The 26,384-nt window shown below is 49.5% G+C and overlaps 1 protein-coding gene across 2 annotated transcripts, besides 3 other annotated features; it reads left to right on the forward strand.

Moving 5' to 3' along the window:
* Window positions 685–774: an enhancer, noted in NCBI's record as "active region_26626". NCBI's record gives its function as "activates an Ori minimal core promoter by ATAC-STARR-seq in GM12878 lymphoblastoid cells {active_cell/tissue: GM12878}" and the evidence as "EXISTENCE:reporter gene assay evidence [ECO:0000049][PMID:35858748]".
* Window positions 1,404–1,673: a silencer, noted in NCBI's record as "silent region_18625". NCBI's record gives its function as "represses an Ori minimal core promoter by ATAC-STARR-seq in GM12878 lymphoblastoid cells {active_cell/tissue: GM12878}" and the evidence as "EXISTENCE:reporter gene assay evidence [ECO:0000049][PMID:35858748]".
* On the forward strand, window positions 1,467–26,379 carry SMO (smoothened, frizzled class receptor). 2 transcript variants are annotated; one of them, XM_047420759.1, is made up of 13 exons: window positions 1,467–2,316; window positions 15,457–15,570; window positions 16,218–16,423; window positions 18,037–18,246; window positions 18,444–18,616; window positions 18,984–19,203; window positions 19,298–19,421; window positions 21,593–21,685; window positions 22,123–22,231; window positions 23,197–23,382; window positions 23,799–23,947; window positions 24,470–24,604; window positions 24,858–26,379. In XM_047420759.1, exons 3-13 carry the CDS (start codon window positions 16,277–16,279, stop codon window positions 25,283–25,285), a joined length of 1,974 nt encoding a protein of 657 aa, XP_047276715.1. In that variant the 5' UTR covers window positions 1,467–2,316; window positions 15,457–15,570; window positions 16,218–16,276; the 3' UTR covers window positions 25,286–26,379. The 2 variants fall into 2 exon arrangements, with proteins under 2 accessions (XP_047276715.1, NP_005622.1); NM_005631.5 differs by lacking the exon at window positions 15,457–15,570.
* Window positions 1,904–2,163: a silencer, noted in NCBI's record as "silent region_18626". NCBI's record gives its function as "represses an Ori minimal core promoter by ATAC-STARR-seq in GM12878 lymphoblastoid cells {active_cell/tissue: GM12878}" and the evidence as "EXISTENCE:reporter gene assay evidence [ECO:0000049][PMID:35858748]".

A 26,384-nucleotide genomic window follows, 5' to 3' on the forward strand; every position in this document is an offset into this window, starting at 1 on the left:
ATCAAGAGAATTGACCCTTAATTCTGTGTGTTATTTGAGGCTTCTTACCAATCAGTTTCCCTACTTATCTATGTCCTTATTCTAACTCCTCCTACTCACACTTTAGTCCTGGATTCAAAACCCACCTCCTCCACTTCTATCCACACTGACCTCTGTCCCCTATTCCTATAGCATACTCACGGTACATCTCATTTTGGCAGCTTATTTATCAAGTGATTACTATGTATGCTCAAGTGAACTAGATGTTTTGTGAACACTAAGAGAATGAGATAAGGTCCCTGACCTGAAGGAGGGAACGTTGCTGTTCTGTCATGCTATGTTTCCTGAGAGCAAGCCATGTATCCACAGGAAAATGGAAGTCTACAGGTTCCTCCAGGATGTCTCTGTGCTATGTACATGCTGGAATTTCAGAAAGACTTGCTAAATTGAATTAAATTCTCTCTCTCTCTCCAATTGATATAGTTGAAGTGCAATAACTAATATGCACTTAAACTGTCCAAAGTAACAGAACTAGTCCACTACCGCTAGGCCATGAGCAAGTCTTCCAGGGGTAAGAAAGGAAAACCCACCCTGGTGTGCAGCCCGATCAGCAACAAGGAAAAAGTTGCTCAGTGCAAGTCTACTCTCCTGTTTGGAGCCTTGTGGTTATGCTGGGTTATACTTGGTTGTGCAGGTGTAAACTGCTGAAGTGGGAAATTAAGTGTGGTGACCAAAAGTGTGATGCTCAAAGGAGTGAGGAAAGGCAAAATGAGCAGAGTGGGGAAGAGGAGCAGCAGAAACCTCCCAGAGCAGATGAGCAGCAGGGCCATCAAAGAAGGACTGGTTTCCTTCTCACATAACCAAGGCCAGTCCCTGGGAACCACAGTTCAGACTTCACATATTTGTAGCAGTAAAGGCTTGATGTTGGCAAGTTTATTTCCCAGACACCTGTTCCCGCAGGTAACAGCAGCCAGAGCAGCTGCCGTGAGTGACTCTGAGGTCGTCTCTCTCAAAGGTCCCGAGCTGGAAGGATTTGGAGAAGCGCAAACCCCAAACCCAGGTTCTTCTCCATGGGGCCCCGGGATACGTTGGAAAATCTAACCAAAGCAGGAAAAACTGGCGGGCCTGGAGAACGGGGCAGAGATGGAACAGAAGTCCCCGTTGACTTCAGGCATCCCCTGTCTTTCCCATCCTGAGCCAGGAGAAAAGTCCGCTTCCTGCAGACGACCTCAGACCAAGCAAGGTGCCCGCCGAGTCTCTCCTTGCAGGTCCGGCCCACGATTTCCACTCATCTCTTTCCCCCGGGCGCGGGGCGGCGGCAGGCGGGGTCACCAGATCCCCCTAGCCCGGGCCCCTCCAGGCGCCAGGGACGCTGACGCTCGCGCTCTTCCTCTCTCGCCTCCCCTCCCCACCTCTCCGCTCCTTCGTCCAGTCCCTCCCCCAGCCTCGGCGCAGGGGGGCCGGGCTTGGCTCCGCGAGGCCCGTGCATTCCAGAGAGCCCAGCGAGCTAGAGCAACAAAGGAGCCGGGTCGCCGGCGGGGAGAGTTCGGGGGGCTGCGGCGCGCTGGGGCGAAGGTGGCTGCTGGGCCGCGGGCTGGCGCGGGGGCGGAGCCGGAGCTGCACTCGCACCCCCGGCCCGCGTCTGGCCTCCCTCGCGGGGCGGGGAGGTGGCTTTAATGGTGGGAGAGGGAATGGGGCTGGGGATTGGGGGCCCAGGGGTCTCCTAGGGCTGAAGACAACTTGGATTGCGAGGCTAGGGCTTGGGGAGTCGTGCATCCCGTTCCGGGCCTCCGCAGCCCAACATGGGCCCCGGGTTCCAAAGTTTGCGAAGTTGGGCGCCGAGGGGCCGGGGCGCGCGGAGCGTCCGGGGGGGCCCGGGCCCGGATTCTCTGGGCGCACAGGTCGCCTGAGCCGCCTCCGCGGCCGCCGAGGTCGTGCGTGTGGCCGGGGGGCTCCGAGGAGCAGGCGGGGGCGCCGGGGCTTTTGCTGAGTTGGCGGGGTTGGCCATGGCCGCTGCCCGCCCAGCGCGGGGGCCGGAGCTCCCGCTCCTGGGGCTGCTGCTGCTGCTGCTGCTGGGGGACCCGGGCCGGGGGGCGGCCTCGAGCGGGAACGCGACCGGGCCTGGGCCTCGGAGCGCGGGCGGGAGCGCGAGGAGGAGCGCGGCGGTGACTGGCCCTCCGCCGCCGCTGAGCCACTGCGGCCGGGCTGCCCCCTGCGAGCCGCTGCGCTACAACGTGTGCCTGGGCTCGGTGCTGCCCTACGGGGCCACCTCCACACTGCTGGCCGGAGACTCGGACTCCCAGGAGGAAGCGCACGGCAAGCTCGTGCTCTGGTCGGGTAAGTGCGGCGGAGCCGGGTCTGGGGGGCGGGAGGTGCCGCGGTAAGATGGGGGCACCCTTGGAAAGAACAGGCTCAGGCCTGAGTTTTGGAGAGGGCGGGGACAGCACCCGGGAGAGTTGGAGGGACAGATCCCGAAACTTTGGGGGCAGGTTACGTGCAGGATGGGACCCTCGGTCATGGGAAAAGGAGGGCAAGGAAGTTGACGAAGCGGGTCACAAAGGGCCTGAGCTGGTGGGTGAGCAAAGGATGGCGGGGATGAGGGGCCCGTGAGGAGGTGGCTCTAAGCCACGGGAAAAGACATTTTGTAAGAAGAGGAGATGCTCCACCTATTCTGGAAGCAGGGTGCCGGGGGATTCAAGGAGGTGTTGAAGACCCTGGGGAAATTGGAGTTGGAGAGGAAAAGGGGAGGGATGACGGAGGAAGAGGTTTAGACATTTGGAGGGAAGGGTAGGGGGACATGATCGAGTGAAGTTTTGAAGGAAAAGAAACCTCCCTAGTGATGAATTATTAAAAGGTAACCAGAAAGTTCTGGAAATCTTGATTTGGGAGACAGGAATGAAGCCTAGAGAACTGTGATCTTGTCTGGCTTTCACGGGAGATTTCATTCAGTTTGTGCATCTGAAAAACCGGCCCTCTGACGCATGCAGGAGGTTATGAAGGAATAAGACCTTTCTAACAGTTATTTGTGTTTTCTTTGGAAATTTGGTTACCGAGGCTGGTCAGGGCTGTGGAAGGACGCTTAAGTCTGGAGTGTTGAGAGCCTGTGGACACTTCCATGGTGGTTTGAAGTCCCAAAGCCCCCTCACTGGAGTGGCAGAGTCTGAAAAACTGCACACTGAACCCAAATGTCCTTCCTTAGCAGTGTGGAGTATACTCTCCCCCACCTGTCACTTTTCTAGATGAGGCTTGGAGGGTGCTGAGGAAGGGAGCTGGCCTTATCAGCCCTCGCTTCTAGCCAGTATGATTCTAAAACTGTCCTGGGAAAAAGAAAAGAAAACCAGGAGCCAGGAGCAGAACTGGGAGCCTCCCTCTTTTGACAGGGCTGGGGTACCCCATCTCTTAGCTCTGCCCAGGGGGCTGGTGAGGACCCTAATGTAGGGAGTGTATGTAGGCCGCCTGTCATTGACAAGTTCTCGGCCTTTGTCAGATGTTGGACAAGGCCATAAGGTTCCTGGCTTGGTGCAGATGCTGGAGGAGGAACTTGGAGGATGGTATCCATGGTACCCATGAGGAAGAGCTGCATCCTTTTTGGGGATCAGGTTCTAAAGTCAGCACAGCACATTAGACAGAAATCATGTGTAAACAACAGTGGCTTTGAAAACTCTGCAGATTACCATAGTGTAAGGTGGATGTGGTTTTGCATATACACTTCTTTTACGATGTTTGCATACATGTGTTACATGTATACTCATATATAAGAATGGGTATACATAGAAGATAAAATAATTGTAATTTTAAAGTTACATTCATGCAAAAGACTGAAATAATAATAATAATAATAAAAAGAACACCAAAGTGAGATTAAGCAAGATTGCTTTGAGCACCACCCAAAATGAGACTTGAGTTTAGGAGCCAGCTGTGTGGAAAGTCCAAATCTCTCAGCACTAGAATCTCACCCAGTTCTGAGTTGCTCATGCTGTCAGAGGATAATCTTTCTGTCCCTCTCTTTATTGATTGTGCAAGGACCCATGGTTTAATTTTCCCAAGTTAAATGCATGTTTGATGTTGCCTCTGTGTAGTTACCATCAGATCAAGGAGGAAGGGTATGAACCTCTTTCCAGCCCATACTCTTGAGAGCAGCTGCTGAGCAGACAGAAGTAGTTTAAGCTGGAACATGTATCAATTAGTACCATCTGCAGGTTGTGCAGGTTGAAATCTCACTATCTGTGCCTTTTGGCAGGGCAGGGTCCTACAGAGATGCCAGCACTGAGCCCAGCACCGTTAGTTCCATTAGTTCACTATGAGTTCTTCTCTGCCACCAACCACCATCCCTCAGCTCATTCCTGTTTCCATATGTGTTCTGGTTGCACTCTTTCTGCTTGGGACTTGCAAGTAGGGCAGAAGCAGGTGTTGGCTTGAGCTGGGTAATGAGTAGGTAGAGTGAACCCAAGCCTCGTGTGAGAATCACAGCCAGGTCAGCTGGTAGCCTCTGGCAAGTGATTTATCATGTCCCGAGTTAATGATCTTGATTTTGCATTAGACAGGGTCAGTGTTACCTGGCTCTTAGGGGTGTTTTTGTGGGTGAAGGATGAAGGTGATCTAGGTTGTCTTCATCGGTAAACTCTTGAATGTAGGAACTGGGTCTTCACTTTTTTTCAAAGCCTGTGAGTACTGAGTACACAGCCATGCTTCTATTCATGCATTCAGTTATGTATTGAATGTTTGCTGTATGTCACATGCTGCGCATGTAAGGATGAAGAATACAGATATGATCCTCTGTCATCAAGAAGACAGGCTGGACATGGTGCTCACACCTGTGATCTCAGCACTTTGGGAGGCCGAGGCGGGAAGATTGCTCAATACCAGGAGTTTAAGACCAGCCTGAGACCTTGCCTCTAAAAAAAAAAAAGGAAGACAGATAATTCAACAGGCTTTGGAAATACCTGTGAAAGGTACTGTGGCATTTTAGGGTACTGAAAAAGCATAAAGGACCCAAGGAACATCCCAGAAGAACTGGCATTTAACCCATAACTTGACACATAAGCAGGAATTGCCTGGCCGAGGGAGAGTTGAGGTTTGAAGGGATAGGAAGAGGAAATAGCATGTACAAAGGTGTAGAGGTAGGAGGGCTTGGTGCTTTGAAAGAAAGTATAAGAGTTGCAGTAGAACTGGATCAAAGCGTGTGAGGGGTGGAATTGTGAGAGATAAGACCTAAAGAATTAGAAAATAAAGGGATTTATACCTCATATTAAGTTTGGATGTTATCCAGGGGATGATAAGGAGCCATTGAAAGATTTTAAGCAAGGGAGAGATGTAATTGTCTTTGCATTTTAGCTGGATCTCTTTGGGTATGGTGTGAAGAAGCCATAGGAGCAGGGAAAGCCTGGAGCCTGGCTTCTTGACCAGGGGATGTTGAAGTAGCCCAAGTAAGAGACGATGGCGGTTGGGACTGGGTAGCAGGACAGAGGGAGTGGGCAGATCCCACTAACTTTCAGAGGTAGTGCTCATAGGGCACTGATGAGTTAGATGTGGAGCCTCAGTGAGCAGGAGGCCTCGGGTTTCAGGCTTGGATGGAAGGTGGTGCCATTCCCTTTCACTAAGATAGAGAATGCTAGAGGAAGAAGAAGTTTAGGCAGGAGGTGTGGCTTTGATTTTGGCCGTGTGAATTAGAGATGCTCATTGGACATCTATGTGGAGATTCTCAGCAGATCTGGAAATAGGAATTGCTGGAGAGAGGTGGCCACTGTGTGCTTCCTTGGCCCTGACTACTGAGGCTTTGGAAGGATGCCATTGACTGAGGAAGTTTATAGCTCAGGTTGGTCCAATTTCTAGGTCTGTATAGACCTCAGGTCTTTCCTCTGTCTTTCATCTCTCTGGCCTCAGGCTTCTTCAGTCACTTAGCATCTCTCCCCTTTACAGCTGGAAATGCCTCCTCCCGGGCATTCCAAGCTGACCAGACAAACATAATGTCCAGGCCGTGGTCCACCTTAGGCCAAACCTGGTTTAGTAAGTGGGGCAAAAAAGCAGAGAGGCCTGCAGCTGGCAGTGGCGATAGGTCCCTGAGAGCCAGCACGTAGCCTCCTTAACCACTGCTGTGCTCTGTGTGGTACATAAGTGTGTGGCCCTGTCACCTTGCCCACTTGCAGGTAAGTAGGAGAGAGACAAAGGCTGGGAGGAATTTCTTGTTTGCCTCTCACACATTGAATTGAGGGCTGAGAGGAGGAATGTTTTTGGTGATGGTGGGTTATTTTCAGGGACGGATCAGGAAGAATTTCCTTAGAGCTATTTCCAAACTTGGCTGGTAATCAGAGTCAGTTAAAAAGATATATATGGCCGGGCGCGGTGGCTCACGCCTGCAATCCCAGCACTTTGGGAGGCCGAGGTGGGCGGATCACGAGGTCAGGAGATCGAGACCATCCCGGCAAACAGGGTGAAACCCCGTCTCTACTAAAAATACAAAAAAATTAGTTGGGCATGGTGGCGGGTGCCTGTAGTCCCAGCTGCTTGGGAGGCTGAGGCAGGAGAATGGCGGGAACCCGGGAGGCAGAGCTTGCAGTAAGCCGAGATCACGCCACTGCACTCCAGCCTGGGCGACAGACCGAGACTCCATCTCAAAAAAAAAAAAAAAAAAAAAAAAAAAATATATATATATATATATATATATATATATATGTATAGGCTGGGTGCAGTGGCTCACACCTGTAATCTTAGCACTTTGGGAGGTTGAGGCAGGAGGATTTCTTGAAGCCAGGAGTTCGAGACCAGCCTGGGCAACAAAGTGAGACCCCATCTCTAAAAAAAAAAATTAGCCGGGCATGTTGGCACACACCTGTGGTCCCAGCTACACTGGAGGCTGAGGCAAAAGGATCGCTTGAACCCAAGAGGTTGAGGCTGCAGTGAGCCATCCTCACACCACTGCCCTCCAGACTGGGCAACAGAGCAAGACCCTGTCTCAAAAATACATACATACATATAGATATGTGTGTATGTATACACACACACACATATATGTATAGTGAAAATGTAAAATACAGAAAAACATACATGGACCTAAGTCTTTTTTAAAAAAAAATTATCTTTAATTAATTATTTGAGAAATGGGGTCTTGCTGTGTTGCCCAGGCTGGAGTGCAGTGGCTATTCAGAGGCTCACTCATTGTGCGCATGGTGCTTATGGTGCCTGGAATAGCTGGCACTACAGGCATGTGTTCTGTGCCAGCTCAAGTCTTCAATTTTGCTTCAGATCTTTAACTTTTTAATTGTGAAATATAACTGTATGCAGAAAACTGCATAAAACACAAAGGTACTGAATAACAAATAATTATAAAGTGACATCTGGGTCAATAACTAGACCACAGTCAGACCCCTGAAGCTCCCTCTGTGTCTTGTCTAGTCACATCCCCCTCCCCTTGCTCAAGAGGTTTTCAGTAATCACATCCTTTTTTTCTCTATGGTTTTACCTCCTAGTTTTGGAATCCATAAGCAGTATATTTCAGCTTTGCATGTTTTTGAACTCTGTTCAAATGGAATTTGTACAAAATAATATGCTGTGCATATTATTTCTTGCTTCTTTTACTTTATATCATTATGTAAGATTCATCCATGTTATTGCAGCTTATTTCTTTTTTGCTTGTTTATTTGTTTGTTTTTGTTTTTTTGAGACAGTCTCACTCTGTCACCTAGGCTAGAGTGCAGTGGCGCGATCTCGGCTCACTACACCTCCACCTCCTGGGTTCAAACGATTCTCCTGCCTCCGCCTCCCAGGTAGCTGGGACCATAGGTGCACGCCACCAGGCCTGGCTAATTTTTGTATTTTTTAGTAGAGACAGGGTTTTGCCATGTTGGTCAGGCTGGCCTCAAACTCCTGACTTCAGGTGAGCCACCCGCCTCATACTGCAGCTTATTTCTTCATTGCTGAATAATATTCCATTATATGAGTATACCCCCAGTTGTTTACCCATTTTATTGTCATCTCAAGTTTTTGCCCATTGCAAATAACATTGCTGTGAGTAGTCTTTTATGTATATCCTAGTACAACTGGCACAAGTTCCTTCAGGTATATGCTGAAGAAGTAGAATTGCTAGATAATAAGGCACGCATACTTTAGGCTTTTGCCAAACCATTTTTCAAAGTGGTTGTACTAACTTATACTCCCACTAGCTAGTAGAAAGTCAACACTGGTTCACATGATTCCCAACATTTGGTATTATCAGCCTTTTACATTTTTGCCAATCTAGTGGCTATATTGTGGCATATATTTGTGGTTTTAATTTGCACTTCCCTGATTACTAGTAAAGTTAAATGCCTTTTTAAATGCTTACTGGCCTTTAGGGTTTCTGCTTTTGGGAAGTGTCTGTTCAAATCTTTGACATATTTTTCCATAGGGGCTATCTGTCATTTTTGTAAGATTTGTAGGAGTTCTTTATATATGCTAGATATGAGTTTATAGGATTACAAAGGAAATCAATTATATTGACATAATAGTTATCAAATATAAAAATGCAAGTATGTGGGCTTATTTATTTATACAATAAATAAGATCTGGTGCAGGTGTAATAACAACTATAATATCAAAGTGATTATAAGCATTGACATTATTTCAAGATATCTGCAACAAAAATATCTGGTTTCCACTTGTGACAACGCCACAGGTACTATTAACATTATGTACTGTGGGCCAGGCGTGGTGGCTCACACCTGTAATCCCAGCACTTTGGGAGGTCAAGGTGGGCAGATCACGAGGTCAGGAAGTCGAGACCATCCTGGCTAACACGGTGAAACCCCATCTCTACTAAAAATACAAAAAATTAGCCGGGCGCGGTGGTGGGCGCCTGTAGTCCCAGCTACTCGGGAGGCTGAGGCAGGAAAATGGTGTGAACCCAGGAGGCGGAGCTTGCAGTGAGCCGAGATCGTGCCACTGCACTCCAGCCTGGGTGACAGAGTGAGACTCCCTCTCAAAAAAAAAAAAAAGAAAAGAAAAAAAAAACAAAAAAAAATTATGTACTGCGATGTGTTGCTTACATTCATAATTGGAGGAAGGGCCAAATTTTAGTTAGGTGTAATTTTTTTCCCATTGAAATTCATGGACCTCTGAATTTTTCCAAGAATCCTTTGTGAACCATAGGGTAAGAATGTTACTTACAGAATATCACTATCTAGTAGAGAGTCTGAGCTATTCTTGATTGTGTGTGTGTGTGTGTGTGTGTGTGTGTTTTAATAGAGACAGGGTTTGACCCTATTGTCCCGGCTGGTCTTGAACTCCTGGGCTCAAGTGATCCTCCTGCCTTGGCCTCCCAAAATGCTCCTTTGTGTTTTAATATAAAAATACTTGGTGATTTTTTATTGGGATTGCATTGACTATATAGATTAACTTGGAAAAAAAAAGAGACATCTTTACAATACTGAGTCTTCCAAACATTGAACATTTATATATTTCTATTTAGATCTTTCATTTTCTCAATATTCTGCACAGATTTAAATACTTATTATTTGTTAGACATTCCTAGGTACTTGATATTTTTGATGCTGTTGTAAATGATGCCTTTAACATTTATTTCACTTTGTTTGTTGCTGACATATAGAAATAAAACTGGCTGGGCACGGTGGCTCACACCTGTAATCCCAGCACTTCGGGAGGCCAAGGCAGGGGGATCACGAGGTCAGGAGATTGAGACCGTCCTGGCTAACATGGTGAAACTCCATCTCTACTAAAAATACAAAAAGTTAGTCGGGCATGGTGGCGGGCGCCTGTAGTCCCAGCTACTCAGGAGGCTGAGGCAGGAGAATGGCGTGAACCTGGGAGGCGGAGCTTGCAATGAGCCCAGATTGTGCCACTGCACTCCAGCCTGGGCAATACAGTGAGACACCGTCTCAAAAAAAAAAAAAAAAAAGAAATAAAATTGATGCCTTTAACATTTATTTCACTTTGTTGCTGATATATAGAAATAAAATTGATTGTGAATTCAGTAAACTTGCTAAATTTATTCTATACACATAGTCATATAATTTGTGAGTAATGAGTTTTGTTTCTTTCTTTCCAAGTCTTATACCTTTTATTTATCCTTATTGCTTTACTGAAGGCTTCCAGTACATTGTTAAATAGACAAAACATCTTAATTCTTGACTTTTCTGGATTCTAAAAAGAAAGCTTTTTCTACCCTTCACCATTAAATTTGATGTTTGGTATAGGTTTTTTATAGTTAATTACATTTTATCAGATTAAGAACGTTGTCTCTTATTTCAAATTTGCCAATTATTCTTTTGATCATAGATGGATGTTGAATTTTATCAACTTTTTTTTTTGGAGACGAAGTGTCACTGTCACCGAGGCTGGAGTGCAGTGATGCGATCTCAGCTCACTGCAACCTCTGCCTCCTGGGTTCAAGCGATTCTCCTGCCTCAGCCTCCCAAGTATCTGGGACTACAGGCGCATGCCACCACGCCCGGCTAATTTTTTGTATTTTTAGTAGAGACGGGGTTTCACCGTGTTAGCCAGGTCAATTTCCTGACCGTGTGATCCGCCCGCCTCAGCCTCCCAAAGTGCTAGGATTACAGGTGTGAGCCACTGCGCCCGGCTGAATTTTATCAACTTTTTTTTGCATCCATTGAGATGATCATATGATTTTTTTCTCCTTTAACCTGTTAATGTAGTAAATTGCATTGATTGAATTTTCTAATATTAAACCAGCCTTAGAACAGTGATACTCAACTTGACTAGTCATCAGAATCACACAAATAAAAAGTCTTTTTAAAAGTCTAGATCAGCCAGGCGCGGTAACACCCGTATTCCTGTTTCTCTTTTTGTTTCATATTTTATTAAAATAAAAGAAGTAAAATAATACTGATAAAGCTGATATCCCCTCTCTTTCTCGTTTCAGTTTCATATCCTTCTTTTCTCTTTGGAAAGCTTCCCCATCCTAGTAATTTGTGTATTTCTTTATTTTGTTTTTAAGCTCAAGTTTTGTTTTTGTTTTTGTTTTTGTTTTTTTGTAGAGATGGGGTTTGGCCATATTGCCCAGGTTGGTCTCGAACTCCTGAACTTAAGTGATCCACCCACCTTGGGCCTCCCAAAATGCTAGGATTATAGGCGTGAGCCACCATGTCCAGCCTTAAGCTTAATTACTTTTAAAAAATAGGTTATACATGTACATGGCACAGAATTCAAAAGGAACAAGTTAAGTCCTACTTCTGCATCTAGCTACCCATTTTTCCTCTGCAGAAGTAACCACCAACACTGGTTTTTGTGTCCTTTTGGAAATATCCAACATCTGTCCAGATGTAGATGTGCTCTCAGTCTCTCCTCTACCGCCCAACCAGTACCATGCTCTATAGACTGCTCTCCACTCAACTGAGTCCATGTAACATGACAACATTGGACATCATTCCATTTCAATGCACATCCTGTCATGCACCCCAGAAGGAGATTTTGGTTAACAATGGACCACATGTGATGGTGTTCCCTTAAGATTATAATACCACATTTTTACTGTAGCCTTTCAATGTTTAGATATGTTTAGATACACTGATACTCACCGTTGTGTTACAGTTGCCTGCAGTATTCAGTATAGCAACATGCTGTACAGGTTTGCAGCCTAGAAGCCATAGGTTATACTGTATCAGCTAGGTGTGCAGTAGGCTATACCATCCAGGTTTGTGTAAGTACACTCTGATGTTCACACAAAGATGACATTGCCTGATGACACATTTCACAGAAGATATCCTCATTGTTAAGCAACATGTGACTATATCTCAACCCTGAATAGTGTTCTATTATAATGGTGTACATTATTTTACTTGGTTGGTCTCCTATTGATGGATATGGATTCAAGCTGTTTCTACTTTTTTGCTATTGCAAAACAGTGCTGCAATGAATAATCTATATTATCTTTGTGAACATGTGAAGTAGAAGTACTAGTATAAAATTTTGGTAGATAATGCCAAAGTGATCTCCACAAGTGTTTACTAATTTTTATTCCTACCAACAAATATAAAAGTGCCAGTTTATCCCTACACTCTTTATAGTACGGTATTTTCTTTTCTTTTTTTTTTTTTTTTTGAGATAGAGTTTTGTTCTGTCACCCAGACTGGAGTGCAATGGCGATCTCGGCTCACTGCAACATCCGCCTCCTGGATTCAAGCAATTCTCCTGCCTCAGCCTCCCAAGAAGCTGGGATTACAGGCGCCCACCACCACACCTAGCTAATGTTTGTAGTTTTTTAGTAGAGACGGGTTTTCACCATGTTGGCCAGGCTTGTGTAGAACTCCTGACCTCAGGTGGTCCACCTGCCTCGGCCTCCCAAACTGTTGGGATTACAGGCGTGAGCCACCACCATGCTCAGCCTTCTTTATGTTTTTAAAGGCCATTAAATGGCCTTGAGTCCAGGAGTTCAAGACCAGCCTGAGCAACATGGTGAAACCTTGTCTCTACAGAAAAATACAAAAATTCACCAGGTGTGGTGGTGTGAGCCTGTAGTCTTTGCTACTCAGGAGGTTGAGGTGGGAGGATTAACTGAACCTGGGGAGCTGAAGGCTGCAGTGAGCCGTGATTATGCCACTGTACTCCAGCCTGGGCAACAGTGTGAGACCCTATCTCAAAAAATAAAAAAATAAAAAAAACATAAAGAGATGTTCGACCTCACTCTTAATAATACAAATGTGGAATAAACTACAACGAAATATTCTTTTTTTAAACTTTTATACTTTTTATCACAGTGATAAAGATCAAAACATTTGAAAATGTGATCTGTTATTTGTCTTTCGCCTGTGTGTCTATAGAATTATGCAATTTTTACTGATTTGGAGGAGCTTTGTGCATATAAGGAAATTAGCTCTTGTGATAAGTATTGAAAATACATTTTTTCAGTATCTTACTTTTCTTATGATTTTTGTATCGATTTTTCTGAAGTCTTTTGTTTAAATCTTTTATTTCATGATGTGTAGGCTTTGTGTCATTTCAGAAGGCCTTCTCCACTCCAAGGTTTAAAAAATCATTTCCTGGCCAGGCGTGGTGGCTCACGCCGTAATCCCACTTTGGGAGACCGAGGCGGGTGGATCACGAGGTCAGGAGATCGAGACCATCCTGGCTAACACGGTGAACCCCCGTCTCTACTAAAAATACAAAAAAAAAATTAGCCGGGTGTGGTGGCGGGCGCCTGTAATCCCAGCTACTCGGGAGGCTGAGGCAGGAGAATGGCGTGAACCCAGGAGGCGGAGCTCGCAGTGAGCCGAGATCACATTACTGCACTCCAGCCTGGGCGACAGAGCAAGACTCCATCTCAAAAAAAAAAATCATTTCCCATCTTTTCTTCTAAAACTTTAATTTTTAGAAAAACAATGTAGTTATTTTTTTATCCATCTGGACTTTTATGTAAGAAATGGGGTAAAGCTCCACCTTATTTTTTCCCCAGATAATTTCTTAGTTGTCCTTGAAGATGTATTTAATAATCTCTCTTTTTCCTGGGGAGTTTTATTTTTAAGGTATGAAACAATATTCACAATGAGGGAAAAAAAGGAAAACAAATTAGACATTTTTAAAACCTGATTGTTACCACAGATATAAAAAGATTGAGAAAAATTACAGTTTTTTTTTTGTTGTTGTTTGTTTGTTTGTTTTAATGAGTCTTGCTGTATCACCCAGGCTGGAGTACACTGTCGTGATCTTGACTCACTGCAACCTCCACCTCCTGTGTTCAAGCAATTCTTCTGCCTCAGCCTCCCAAGTAGCTGGGACTACAGGCGTGGACCACCACGCCTGGTTAATTTTTATATTTTTTAGTAGAGACAGGGTTTCACCATGTTGGCCAGGCTGGTCTCAAACTCCCGACCTCAAGTGATCTGCCTGCCTCAGCCTCTCAAAGTGCTGGGATTACAGGCATGAGCTACCGCACCTGGCTGACACAACCTTTATTTTTTTTATTTTTCGAGACGGGGCCTTGCTCTGTCGCCTAGGCTGGAGTGCAGTGGTGCCATCTCCGCTTACTGCAACCTCTGCCTCCTGGGTTCAAGTGATTCTCCTGCCTCAGCCTCCTGAGTAGCTGGGATTACAGGCATGTGCCACCACATCCAGCTAATTTTTGTATTTTTAGTAGAGACAGGGTTTCACCATGTTGGCCAGGCTGGTCTCGGACTCCTGACCTTGTGATCCACCCGCCTCGGCCTCCCAAGTTCTGGGATTACAGGTTTGAGCCACCATGCCCAGCCGACACAACCTTTTTATTAACTGCCTGATGTTTCTCTAAAGCATTTTACTCCAGAGAGGTCCCCCCATTTTAAATATATTGTGCAATAAAAGTAAACATCCAGTAAAATTGACTTTTTCTTGTACAGTTCTAAGTTTAGACAAACACATAGACTTATGTAACCAGCCACCACATTGAATTCAAGATAGAGAATCGTCCTTTAACCCCCATATATTCTCTCATGCTACTATTTTGTAGGCAAATCCTGCCCTCACCCCAATCCCTGGCACCCACTGCTCTGTTTTCTGCAAGTACCTATGTACTCAGAATTTCTGGTGACTGTTTTTGGGTTTTTTGTTTTTTATTTTTTTGTTTTTGAGGCAGAGTCTCATTCTTTTGCCCAGGCTGGAGTGCAGTGGCGCCATCTCAGCCCACCGCAACCTCCACCTCCTAGGTTCAAGCAATTCTGTTGCCTCAGCCTCCCGAGTAGCTGGGATTACAGGCATGTACCACCACGACCGGCTAATTTTTGTATTTTTAGTAGAGACGGGGTTTCACCTTGTTGGCCAGGCTGGTCTTGAACTCCTAGCCTCAGGTGATCTGCCCGCCTTTGCCTCCCAAAGTGCTGGGATTACAGGTGTGAGCCACTGCGCCTGGCCAACTGGTGACTGAATTGAGTCAAGTGGGAACTGTTGCCTGAGGACATTGCTTCTTAACTGGCAGGAACTTGCTCTGCACCCTGGAATATACTCTGAAGGCTGGGAGCAGTCAGAGGCCTCAGACAAATAATCATAAGAGTTAACATTTCCTGAGCGCTTACTACATGACAGGTACTGTGCCAAGGGCATTTAAAGCATTATATCACTTTTCACAGCAGTTCCATGAGGTAAATCTATCATCCCCATTTTACAGATGAGGCAACTGAGGCTAAAGATAAAGTACTTTGCCCAAGATCATACAGCCAGGAAAGAGTGGAGCCAAGATTTGGACCCAGGCTGGGCAGTTGCCATGCACATGCCCCTTACCTCTCTACTATGTTGCCTTCCCCCGAAAAGAGTGGTTACCTGTCTCTACCACCCCCAGCCTGGAAATGTGACCGGCACCCATGTTGGCTCTCACATCCTCATATTCTCTCCTAATGCAACTTCTTGCTTGGGAAATAGATATTGCTGAAGCAGGGTTGATTCAGGAAGGGCTTCTGTGATGGGCAGGGCGGAGGACTAGGCTGGGGACGGGTGCTGGGAGATTGCCGCCTGTTTCTGTCTTGCTGACAACATTTTTCCCCTCTCCGCACTGGACAGAGCCTCTTCTGTTCCTCTCCATCTGACTTCCTGCTTCCTCCTCTGGCTTTGGAGTGCCTGGCTCCTCTGACTACCTCTTCTTAAGCCCCCATCTCTTCTCTCTCACTCCGCTTGGTAAGAGGAACAAGGGTTCTGGGGTCTGGGCAAAGGGAAACATCTCCTGGCTCTAGCAAATGGGCCCCGTGAGAGTTGGGTGCACCCCTGAAAAGGTAAATCCACCCCGGGGAGCTCTACCAGAGGCATTACCACTCCCTAGCAGGGCATCTGGAAGTGGCAGTTATTTTCTTAAAACTTAAATGATAGTAAGCATACAGAATAGCGCACAGATCATGAGCTTGGTTTCCACAAGGTGAATACACTCATGTAACCAGTATCAGATCAGGAGATAGAATATTCCCAACATCCCATGTAACCAGTACCAGATCAAGAAGTAAAACATTCCCAGCAGCCCAGAGGTTCCTCTCCAGGCTCCCTTCTAGTCACCGTCCCTAGAGTAGAGGGCTGGGGCATTTTTGTTTGTCACAATCACTTCTGGGTTCTACTGGCATTGAGTTGGCAGAGTCTAGTGTCTGCAATGCATGGGACAGTCCTATGGTATAAAGAACTGTCCTGCCCAGATGCACTGTTGAGAAACACTGTACCTGCCAGGTCTGACCAGTGATGGGCTGCAGTGTGGCAAAGGCCTGGAGGACAGGGGTGAAGCTGCGTCTGTGGGTCAGAGTGAGGAGGGGCCTTCACTGCAATGCTGTTGCCACCCCCAGGCCTCCGGAATGCCCCCCGCTGCTGGGCAGTGATCCAGCCCCTGCTGTGTGCCGTATACATGCCCAAGTGTGAGAATGACCGGGTGGAGCTGCCCAGCCGTACCCTCTGCCAGGCCACCCGAGGCCCCTGTGCCATCGTGGAGAGGGAGCGGGGCTGGCCTGACTTCCTGCGCTGCACTCCTGACCGCTTCCCTGAAGGCTGCACGGTGAGTGCTCTGTGAGACAAGGTCCAGGCTCTCTGGGTTGGGCAGGACCGGGTATAGGGCAGGGTCCAGTGGGGAGCAGGGGAGCCCAGAGCTTTGTCTCCTGGAGACCCTGAGCCTACAGCCATGGGGTCAACAGGACACAAACTCAAACTGCAGCTCACTGGCTGGATCCGTCTATTAGGGATTCTCTATTTATTTATCAATGATCACATGTTCAGCAAAATGTTTTGAGCACTGGCTGTTGGGTGTTGTGGTGTTACGGGCATCACGGATGACAGGAGCCTATCAGGAAGTTTCTCATGTATGTTGGGAGTTAAGGCGCGAGCGTGTGAAACAGCTAGAGCCACCAAGACAGGGGACGTGAGCTAGTTCTGGGTGGTGCAGGAGAGGTCTTCAATGAAAATAATAACAGTAATAATGATGGTAATAATACTAATTAGTCCTGTTTACTATATGCCAAATGCCATTATAATAAGCTCATGCCTGTAATCCCAGCACTTTGGGAGGTCGAGGTGGGCAGATCACCTGAAGTCAGGAGTTCCAGACCAGCCTGGCCAACGTGGCAAAACCCTGTCTCTACTAAAAATACAAACATAAGCCTGATGTCATGGTGTGCGCCTGTAGTCCCAGCTACTCGGGAGGCTGAGACACGAGAATCGCTTGAACCCGGGAGGTGGAAGTTGCAGTGAGCTGAGATCGTGCCACTGAACTCCAGCCTGGGCTACAGAGTGAGACTCTGTCTCAAAATAAATAAATAAATAAATAGGCTGGCCAGACACAGTGGCTCATGCCTGTTATCCCCACCACTTTGGAAGGCTGAGGCGGGTGGATCACTTGATGAGGTCAGAAGTTCAAGACCAGCCTGACCAACATGGTGAAACTCCGTCTCTACTAAAAATACAAAAAATTAGCCAGACATGGTGGTGGGCACCTGTATTCTCAGCTACTTGGGAGGCTGAGGCAGTAGAATCGCTTGAACCCGGGAGGTGGAGGTTGCAGTGAGCCAAGATTGTGCCATTGCACTGCAGCCTGGGCGACAGAGCCAGACTCTGTCTCTCTCTTTCTATATATATAATATATGTTTATTCATTTAACCCTTAAACCATACCATAAGGTAAGTACTACCATCTTAGAAATGGGGAAACTGGCCGGGCGCAGTGGCTCACGCCTGTAATCCCAGCACTTTGGGAGGCCGAGGTGGGTGGATCATGAGGTCAGGAGTTCAAGACCAGCCTGGCCAACCTGGTGAAACCCCGTCTAAAATACAAAATTTAGCCGGGTGTGGTGGTGGGCGCCTGTAGTCCCAGCTACTCGGGAGTCTGAGGCAGGAGAATTGCCCGGGAGGCAGAGGTTGCAGTGAGCTGAGATCACGCCACTGCACTCCAGCCTGGGCGACAGAGCGAGACTGTCTAAAAAAAGAAAGAAAAAAAGAAAGAAAGAAGTGGGGAAACTGAGGTACAGAGAGGCCAAATAATTTGCCAAGCCAGCCCTGGGATTCAGGTCCTGGAAGTGTATCTCCAGCCACCCTGCCATGCTACCTAGATACCTTTCCCTAAACAAGAGGCTCGTCCCTGAGCTGCCTTGACACCGTCTTTTCCCATCCCTGGTGCCAGAATGAGGTGCAGAACATCAAGTTCAACAGTTCAGGCCAGTGCGAAGTGCCCTTGGTTCGGACAGACAACCCCAAGAGCTGGTACGAGGACGTGGAGGGCTGCGGCATCCAGTGCCAGAACCCGCTCTTCACAGAGGCTGAGCACCAGGACATGCACAGCTACATCGCGGCCTTCGGGGCCGTCACGGGCCTCTGCACGCTCTTCACCCTGGTCAGCCGCGGGAGGGCAGGCCCGGGGGGCCCTCAGCCTGGAACGTGGGAAGAGAGCCAGAGGGAAGGGGGGCAAAGAGGTCTTGGTGGGGGTCCCCAGGGAAGGGTCATGATCAGAAGGGTCTGGGGCTCAGTTAAGGGTGTCTGTGTCAGCAGAATAACCCTAACCTCACAGAATGGCCCACTTCTCTCTTCTAGGCCACATTCGTGGCTGACTGGCGGAACTCGAATCGCTACCCTGCTGTTATTCTCTTCTACGTCAATGCGTGCTTCTTTGTGGGCAGCATTGGCTGGCTGGCCCAGTTCATGGATGGTGCCCGCCGAGAGATCGTCTGCCGTGCAGATGGCACCATGAGGCTTGGGGAGCCCACGTAGGTGTCTTGGGGACCCAGAGGTGAAGGTACAGGGAGGAAGGCTGAAGTGTGCGTTTACCCCAAAGGGAGCAGGTGCGTGTAAAACCGAGATCCAGGGCAGGATCTGGCTCTGCCCTACTGCATACTGCATGCAAGATCTCCAGTGTTAGGATCTTAGTTTCAGAATCAGGACCTTCATGGTTTGTATCTGCTCAAAGGGGCGGCTCCTAGAGCCTCCTCAGATCTGACCTGGGTCCTGTCTCCAAGCCCTGACTTCTGGGAACCTCCAGACCTCAGCAGCTGAGGGTCTGGGCACAGGGTGGGGAGACCAGGTAGAGGGAGTACAGAGTGACCGCCTCAAGTGACACCTCACCTCTCTGCACAGCTCCAATGAGACTCTGTCCTGCGTCATCATCTTTGTCATCGTGTACTACGCCCTGATGGCTGGTGTGGTTTGGTTTGTGGTCCTCACCTATGCCTGGCACACTTCCTTCAAAGCCCTGGGCACCACCTACCAGCCTCTCTCGGGCAAGACCTCCTACTTCCACCTGCTCACCTGGTCACTCCCCTTTGTCCTCACTGTGGCAATCCTTGCTGTGGCGCAGGTATAGTGACTGGTAGGAACGGGAGACCTGGATGGGGTGAGTTTGAGGGAGGGGGCCAGTAACCCACCTTCTGTCCCACCCCTTCCTGCTGCAGGTGGATGGGGACTCTGTGAGTGGGATTTGTTTTGTGGGCTACAAGAACTACCGATACCGTGCGGGCTTCGTGCTGGCCCCAATCGGCCTGGTGCTCATCGTGGGAGGCTACTTCCTCATCCGAGGTGAGTGAAGACCAGGCCAGGACCAGTTGGGCAACAAAATATACTGGGCACTTGCTGCCAGTACTGGGAGCTGCCAGCACGGCTGCCCCCATGCTGAAACCCCAGCTAGCTCCTATAGGGCCTTCACACAGTAGAAGGTGACCCTCTAGGCAGACGAAACACCGTGAGCACTTGCTGCGGGACAGCACCTTTGTACTGGCCAGAAAAATCCATCCCTCTCTCCAGGGCCTTGGCCCAGGGCTCACAGCTTGTTTTTTTTGTTTGTTTTTGTTTTTGAGACAGAGTCTAGCTCTGTTGCCCAGGCTGGAGTGCAGTGGCACAATCTTGGCTCACTGCAACCTTCGCCTCCTGGGTTCAAGTGATTCTCCTGCCTCACCCTCCCCCATAGCTAAAATTACAGGCATGCACCACCACGTCTGGCTAATTTTTGTATTTTTAGTAGAGACGGGGTTTCACCATGTTAGCCAGGCTGGTCTTGAACTCCTGACCTAAAGTGATCCACCACCTCAGCCTCCCAAAGTGCGGAGATTACAGGCATGAGCCACAGTGCCCAGCCTCACAGCTTGTTAGGTGGAGTTGGGTCAGGATCCAGCCCCAGTCAGCTCCTGGCCGGTGCACTTGTGTGATGAACACCCTGAGTAACCTACTCTGCCCACTTGGACCAACCTAGGTCGTTTGGTTATCTGTGTGCACATTAATTCGATATGTACTGTCAATCTTCTGGAGCTTGGTTTTCATCTTCTTTCTGTCCCCGGCACACACAGCTCTCACAGCATGCGTGGAATTAGTGGTCCCTAACTTTCCTGTCTCATGCTGCCATCCCATAGTAAGCCTCAGCATCTATTTAGCTCATTGTTGTTGGGTTTTCTTTGTAAACCTCAGTTTCCTCACCCTGAACTGCCAGCCTTCTGTTCAGTCACCTCTTTCCCCTCTTTTTGGCATAGTGTCTGGCCCTCTGATTTGTGCTTCGTTATCATGCTGTCCTAGTATGGTAATCACTAGCCACATGTGTTGAACTAGTCCAGCCTGGGTGCGGCGGCTCACTCCTGTAATCCCAGTACTTTGGGAGGCTGAGACGGACGGATCACTTGAGCTCAGAGTTCGAGACCAGCCTGAACAACATAGTGAAACCCCATCTCTACAAAAAATACAAAAGTTGCCTGGGCAGGGTGGCACATGCCTGTGGTCCTAGCTATGTGAGAGGCTGAGGTGGGAGGCTTGCTTGAGCCCAGGAGGTTGAGGCTGCAGTGAGCCATGATCTTGCCACTGCACTCCAGCCTGAGTGACAGAGTGAGACCCTGTCTCCAAAGAAAACAAGACAACAACAAAAAGAAACAAGTCCAAATTGAGATGTGTTGTAAAATGTGAAATACACACTGTATTAAAAAAAAAACTTAGTGGGAAAAAAATGTAAAATATCTCATTAATAATTTGTTACATGGATTACATGTTGAAATGATTTTATTTTGAATATATTAGGTTTGTAAAATATATTGATATTAGTTTTGCTTGTTTCTTTTAACTTTTTTTAAGTGGCCACTAGAAATTTGCCATATGTATGTGGCTCACATATTTCTATGGGAAGGCCGGCATGGTGGCTCACACCTGTAATCCCAGCACTTTGGGAGGCCGAGGTGGGCAGATCACCTGAGTTCAGGAGTTCAAGACCATCCTGGCCAACATGGTGAAACCCCATCTTTACAAAAATACAAAAATTAGCCGGCGTGATGGTAGGTGCCTGTGATCCCAGCTGCTTGGGAGGCTGAGGCAGGAGAATTGCTTGAACCTGGGAGGCGGAGTTTACAATGAGCCGAGATCACGCCATTGCACTCCAGCCTGGGCGACAGGGTTCCATCTCAAAAAAAAAATTATATGGATAGCGCTGTTCTTGAGTCTGTTTTATGTCTTTCCCATCAGAACAGCTTTGATCTGCCCCCTTCTTCAGGGGCAGCTGGGCCACGACCGAGGCTCCCTCTTCTCAAGTGTCTGTCTAGGCTCTGCCCTGGTCTTCTCACCATTTCTCCAGTGTCTCTAGCTCCCCAGGTTTTCATTTAGCACAGGGGTAATCAGACTTGGGACTCCAGAGCCTTAGGACCCTCCTCCCACTCACCCATCCTTCCCAGCAGGGCAGCCTCACCCCTGCTAATGTCTGAGGTCCCCCTTCTGTTCAGGAGTCATGACTCTGTTCTCCATCAAGAGCAACCACCCCGGGCTGCTGAGTGAGAAGGCTGCCAGCAAGATCAACGAGACCATGCTGCGCCTGGGTGAGTGGCCCCGGGGGACTTCGGTCTGAGGTCCTGGCCAGCCCAACACTGCACCCTCCTGGGGCTATGCGACCGGCAGGATGCAGTAAGTCAGTGGGACAAGTTAGCCATAGGGACAAGGACAAGGGGTGTGTGTAGGTGGTAGTGGTAGTGGCAGCTCAAAAGAAGGGGGTCTACTCGGGGGGAAGAATTCAGTCAAGTTCATGCCGGGACTGGTTCCTCCTGCCCACTACGTCCCACGTGGTCCCTCCCACAGTTGCTTCAAGTGCCCTTCTTATTTTATTTTAGAGAAAGCAGTTCTTGGACTGAGCCCAGCATGAGTTCACCCCAGCCCCAGCTGGGTGAACTTTGAGGCCCAGTGGGGCAGACTCTCTCCTCCCCACTGCTGCTGCGGGACTGGGCTTGGTAACGTCCTGTCCTGCCCCTGTCCTCCACAGGCATTTTTGGCTTCCTGGCCTTTGGCTTTGTGCTCATTACCTTCAGCTGCCACTTCTACGACTTCTTCAACCAGGCTGAGTGGGAGCGCAGCTTCCGGGACTATGTGCTGTGAGTGAGGGGCATGGAGGCGGCAGTGCTGGGAGCTGGAGCCAAGGCCATAAAGACACCCACCTCCACCCACCGGGCAGCAGGGATTTGCCAGGTCCCTGCTGCAGACAGCAGATTCAATGGATGGTGTCTGGGTGCATAAGGCATCAGTCTCCGTAGTTTCTCAAACGTGGCAAACAACCTTCGCATCCCTTCTCACCTCTGCCCTTCCCTCTCCACCCCCTTGGTTGCCCAGCTGGTGCATGTGTGACTGTTAAGCAGCCAGTTCAGCTTCGTCTTCTCTGACTGACACTAAGTTGCCCTCTAATTCTGTGTGCTCTCCTGCAGAGCCTGCTTTAGATCCTGGCACAGGACTAGTTACCTCTCTGTGATAGGTTAATGACCTGCTAATGTTGGCTAGTTTTTGCCTGTGCTTTTTTGTGTCATAATGAGGATGGATTGGAGAGAGTAAGACATTGCTACTGCTGAGAGAAGCGCAGTACCCACTGTTACAAGGACAGTCGCTAAAATGGATGCTAGTCCAAGCCCTGACTGCTTCAGGCTCTTCCGTAAAGGTTCCGGCTTCCAGTCTGGGATGCTTTAAACCACAGTGATGCCTGAGTCTCTGCCCCAGAGATTCAATTTAATTGTCTAGGGTGGGTCCCAGGCATCAGTAGCTATTAAAAGCTCCCCAGTTGATTCTAATGAGCACCCAGGGTTGAGATCAGTGCTGTGGAGCTTAGCCCTTTCTAAAGTTTTTGGATTGATTGTCTGAGTCTACCCAGTAGACTCAGAAAACCCCACCTGTAGTCCCAGCTACTTGGGAGGCTGAAGCAGGAGATTGCCTGAGCCCAGGAGTTGGAAGCTGCAGTGGGTTGTGATCACGCCACCGCACTCTAGCCTGGGTGACAGAGCAAGATCCTATCTCAAAAAAAGAGAGAGGAAAAGAAAGGAAAGCCTCACCTGTCTACGTTCCCTCACTGTAGATGTCAGGCCAATGTGACCATCGGGCTGCCCACCAAGCAGCCCATCCCTGACTGTGAGATCAAGAATCGCCCGAGCCTTCTGGTGGAGAAGATCAACCTGTTTGCCATGTTTGGAACTGGCATCGCCATGAGCACCTGGGTCTGGACCAAGGCCACGCTGCTCATCTGGAGGCGTACCTGGTGCAGGTGGGCATGGCAGCCAGCCCCTCCTGCCCTGCCCGCCTCACCCTCAGCCTTGGGACCCCATCTTTAGGTTTTGTCGGGTCCTGCCTCTAGCACAGCCTTGGTCAGTGGTTCACCGCTGCCCCCTGGTGGCACCTTCTGTCCTTGGGTGGCCTGATGCCTGGGCCTGGGCCTGGGCCAAGGGCAGAGCCAGCTGCCATCACCTTTTAAGAGCGGAGTGATTGGAGGGCTGGGCACACAGGAGCTCTGCATTCTGGCCCCACTTCTTTGCAGAGAAGGCCTCTACTCCTGAGTCCTTGAAGGACTTGAGGCCCTTGGGAGCCTCCTTCTCTGGAAAGAATGGCATCGCTGGCCCTTCCCAAGATTTGATGGGAAGTGGCAGCTTCTTCACGCTCCTTCCCTATCCCTTCTGCTCTCAGGTTGACTGGGCAGAGTGACGATGAGCCAAAGCGGATCAAGAAGAGCAAGATGATTGCCAAGGCCTTCTCTAAGCGGCACGAGCTCCTGCAGAACCCAGGCCAGGAGCTGTCCTTCAGCATGCACACTGTGTCCCACGACGGGCCCGTGGGTGAGCCTCACCCCTCCTCTACCGGAGCCGCCTGGCCCCGCGCTGCCCATGTGCTAGTCTCTCCCAGCCTGCTGGGGGCACACAGATTATTTGGAAGACCGACTGTGAGGAGCAAGGCGCTCCCTCCATCGCTCACACACCCATTCTTCCCCCGGCCCCTCCTACCCTCTGGGGGGCTCTCCCCTCTCTGTTTCTGCCCCTGGGTCTGCTTGCCGGTGCTTGGGTTCCAAGAAGACTCCCCTCCCTCTCCCTTCTCATAAATTCTCCAGTTGCTCTCCCTGGGCAAGAGTAAGTCAGGGTTCCAAGAACTGGATTTCTGGCCTCCAGTTAGGCCCTTTGGGGACGTGAGGCCCTTCTCTTCAGATTCTGAAGGGGTAGAGATCACCGTGGTTACAGGGTGAGCTTTCTCTGGTGAGCAGGAGGGACTGGCTGTGGGAAGATGAATGGCACTGACTATGGGAGGCACTGCCAGGGACCGGGAAGTCACTATTCCTTCTCCTTTCCTTCCTTCCATTCCCACAGCGGGCTTGGCCTTTGACCTCAATGAGCCCTCAGCTGATGTCTCCTCTGCCTGGGCCCAGCATGTCACCAAGATGGTGGCTCGGAGAGGAGCCATACTGCCCCAGGATATTTCTGTCACCCCTGTGGCAACTCCAGGTATGAGAGTTCAAGCTTCTGGAGGAAGGTGGGGGGAGCACAGAGGCTGGGGGCTTCTGGGACTGGAGTACAGGGGCTGTCGGAGGAGGAGGAAGAGGAAGGAAAGGCCCCAGAGGATCTGAAGAGTGGGGCTGAGGCTCTAAGAGTCTAGAGACCTGGGCCCCAGAACTAACAGGTTAAGTGCTCCCAGGGGAGCGGGGGTGGCATGGACAGAGCCAGGGCCCCAGGCTCGTGTTGTCTCTCCTCCTGTCAGTGCCCCCAGAGGAACAAGCCAACCTGTGGCTGGTTGAGGCAGAGATCTCCCCAGAGCTGCAGAAGCGCCTGGGCCGGAAGAAGAAGAGGAGGAAGAGGAAGAAGGAGGTGTGCCCGCTGGCGCCGCCCCCTGAGCTTCACCCCCCTGCCCCTGCCCCCAGTACCATTCCTCGACTGCCTCAGCTGCCCCGGCAGAAATGCCTGGTGGCTGCAGGTGCCTGGGGAGCTGGGGACTCTTGCCGACAGGGAGCGTGGACCCTGGTCTCCAACCCATTCTGCCCAGAGCCCAGTCCCCCTCAGGATCCATTTCTGCCCAGTGCACCGGCCCCCGTGGCATGGGCTCATGGCCGCCGACAGGGCCTGGGGCCTATTCACTCCCGCACCAACCTGATGGACACAGAACTCATGGATGCAGACTCGGACTTCTGAGCCTGCAGAGCAGGACCTGGGACAGGAAAGAGAGGAACCAATACCTTCAAGGCTCTTCTTCCTCACCGAGCATGCTTCCCTAGGATCCCGTCTTCCAGAGAACCTGTGGGCTGACTGCCCTCCGAAGAGAGTTCTGGATGTCTGGCTCAAAGCAGCAGGACTGTGGGAAAGAGCCTAACATCTCCATGGGGAGGCCTCACCCCAGGGACAGGGCCCTGGAGCTCAGGGTCCTTGTTTCTGCCCTGCCAGCTGCAGCCTGGTTGGCAGCATCTGCTCCATCGGGGCAGGGGGTATGCAGAGCTTGTGGTGGGGCAGGAACGGTGGAGGCAGAGGTGACAGTTCCCAGAGTGGGCTTTGGTGGCCAGGGAGGCAGCCTAGCCTATGTCTGGCAGATGAGGGCTGGCTGCCGTTTTCTGGGCTGATGGGTGCCCTTTCCTGGCAGTCTCAGTCCAAAAGTGTTGACTGTGTCATTAGTCCTTTGTCTAAGTAGGGCCAGGGCACCGTATTCCTCTCCCAGGTGTTTGTGGGGCTGGAAGGACCTGCTCCCACAGGGGCCATGTCCTCTCTTAATAGGTGGCACTACCCCAAACCCATCTTTTGTTCTCCTATATCCTCCTTCTTCTGTTCCATTTCAGTTCAGTTTCAGCGGTGCCAACCTCTTTGCGTTTCCTTTTTGTTGATGAGGACCCAGAGCTGCTGCACACACTCACCTCTAACCCCCTCCCCTCGCTGCTGGGCCCCATCTCCACAGGAGAGACTGGTTCAGCTCTAGGGCCTCAGTCTGGAGTGGGATAGGAGCAGTGAGTGACAAAGCCTCTGAAAGATGCATCATCTCTTCCTCACACCCATTTAGTGGGGGATGGGTCCTCTAGACTTGAGGGGCTACCCTGGGAAGCTGCCGTAGCTTCAGCCAGGCAAGAAAGCTTCCTTCAACCTGCATAGCCGGTGGGTGAGGAGATTCCCACCTTCCATAGCCTCCAAACATGTTCCCAAGGCCCCACTTTCAAGAATCAGACAGCAGGAAGCCATAGATGCTGGCTGGGTTCCAGGTTATGGGGAGAAGAAATACAGTCAATAAAAGGTTTTTGTATAAACTCTT

This window comes from Homo sapiens, chromosome 7 (assembly GCF_000001405.40).
Source record: "Homo sapiens chromosome 7, GRCh38.p14 Primary Assembly".
NCBI classification, from domain to species: Eukaryota; Metazoa; Chordata; class Mammalia; order Primates; family Hominidae; genus Homo; species Homo sapiens.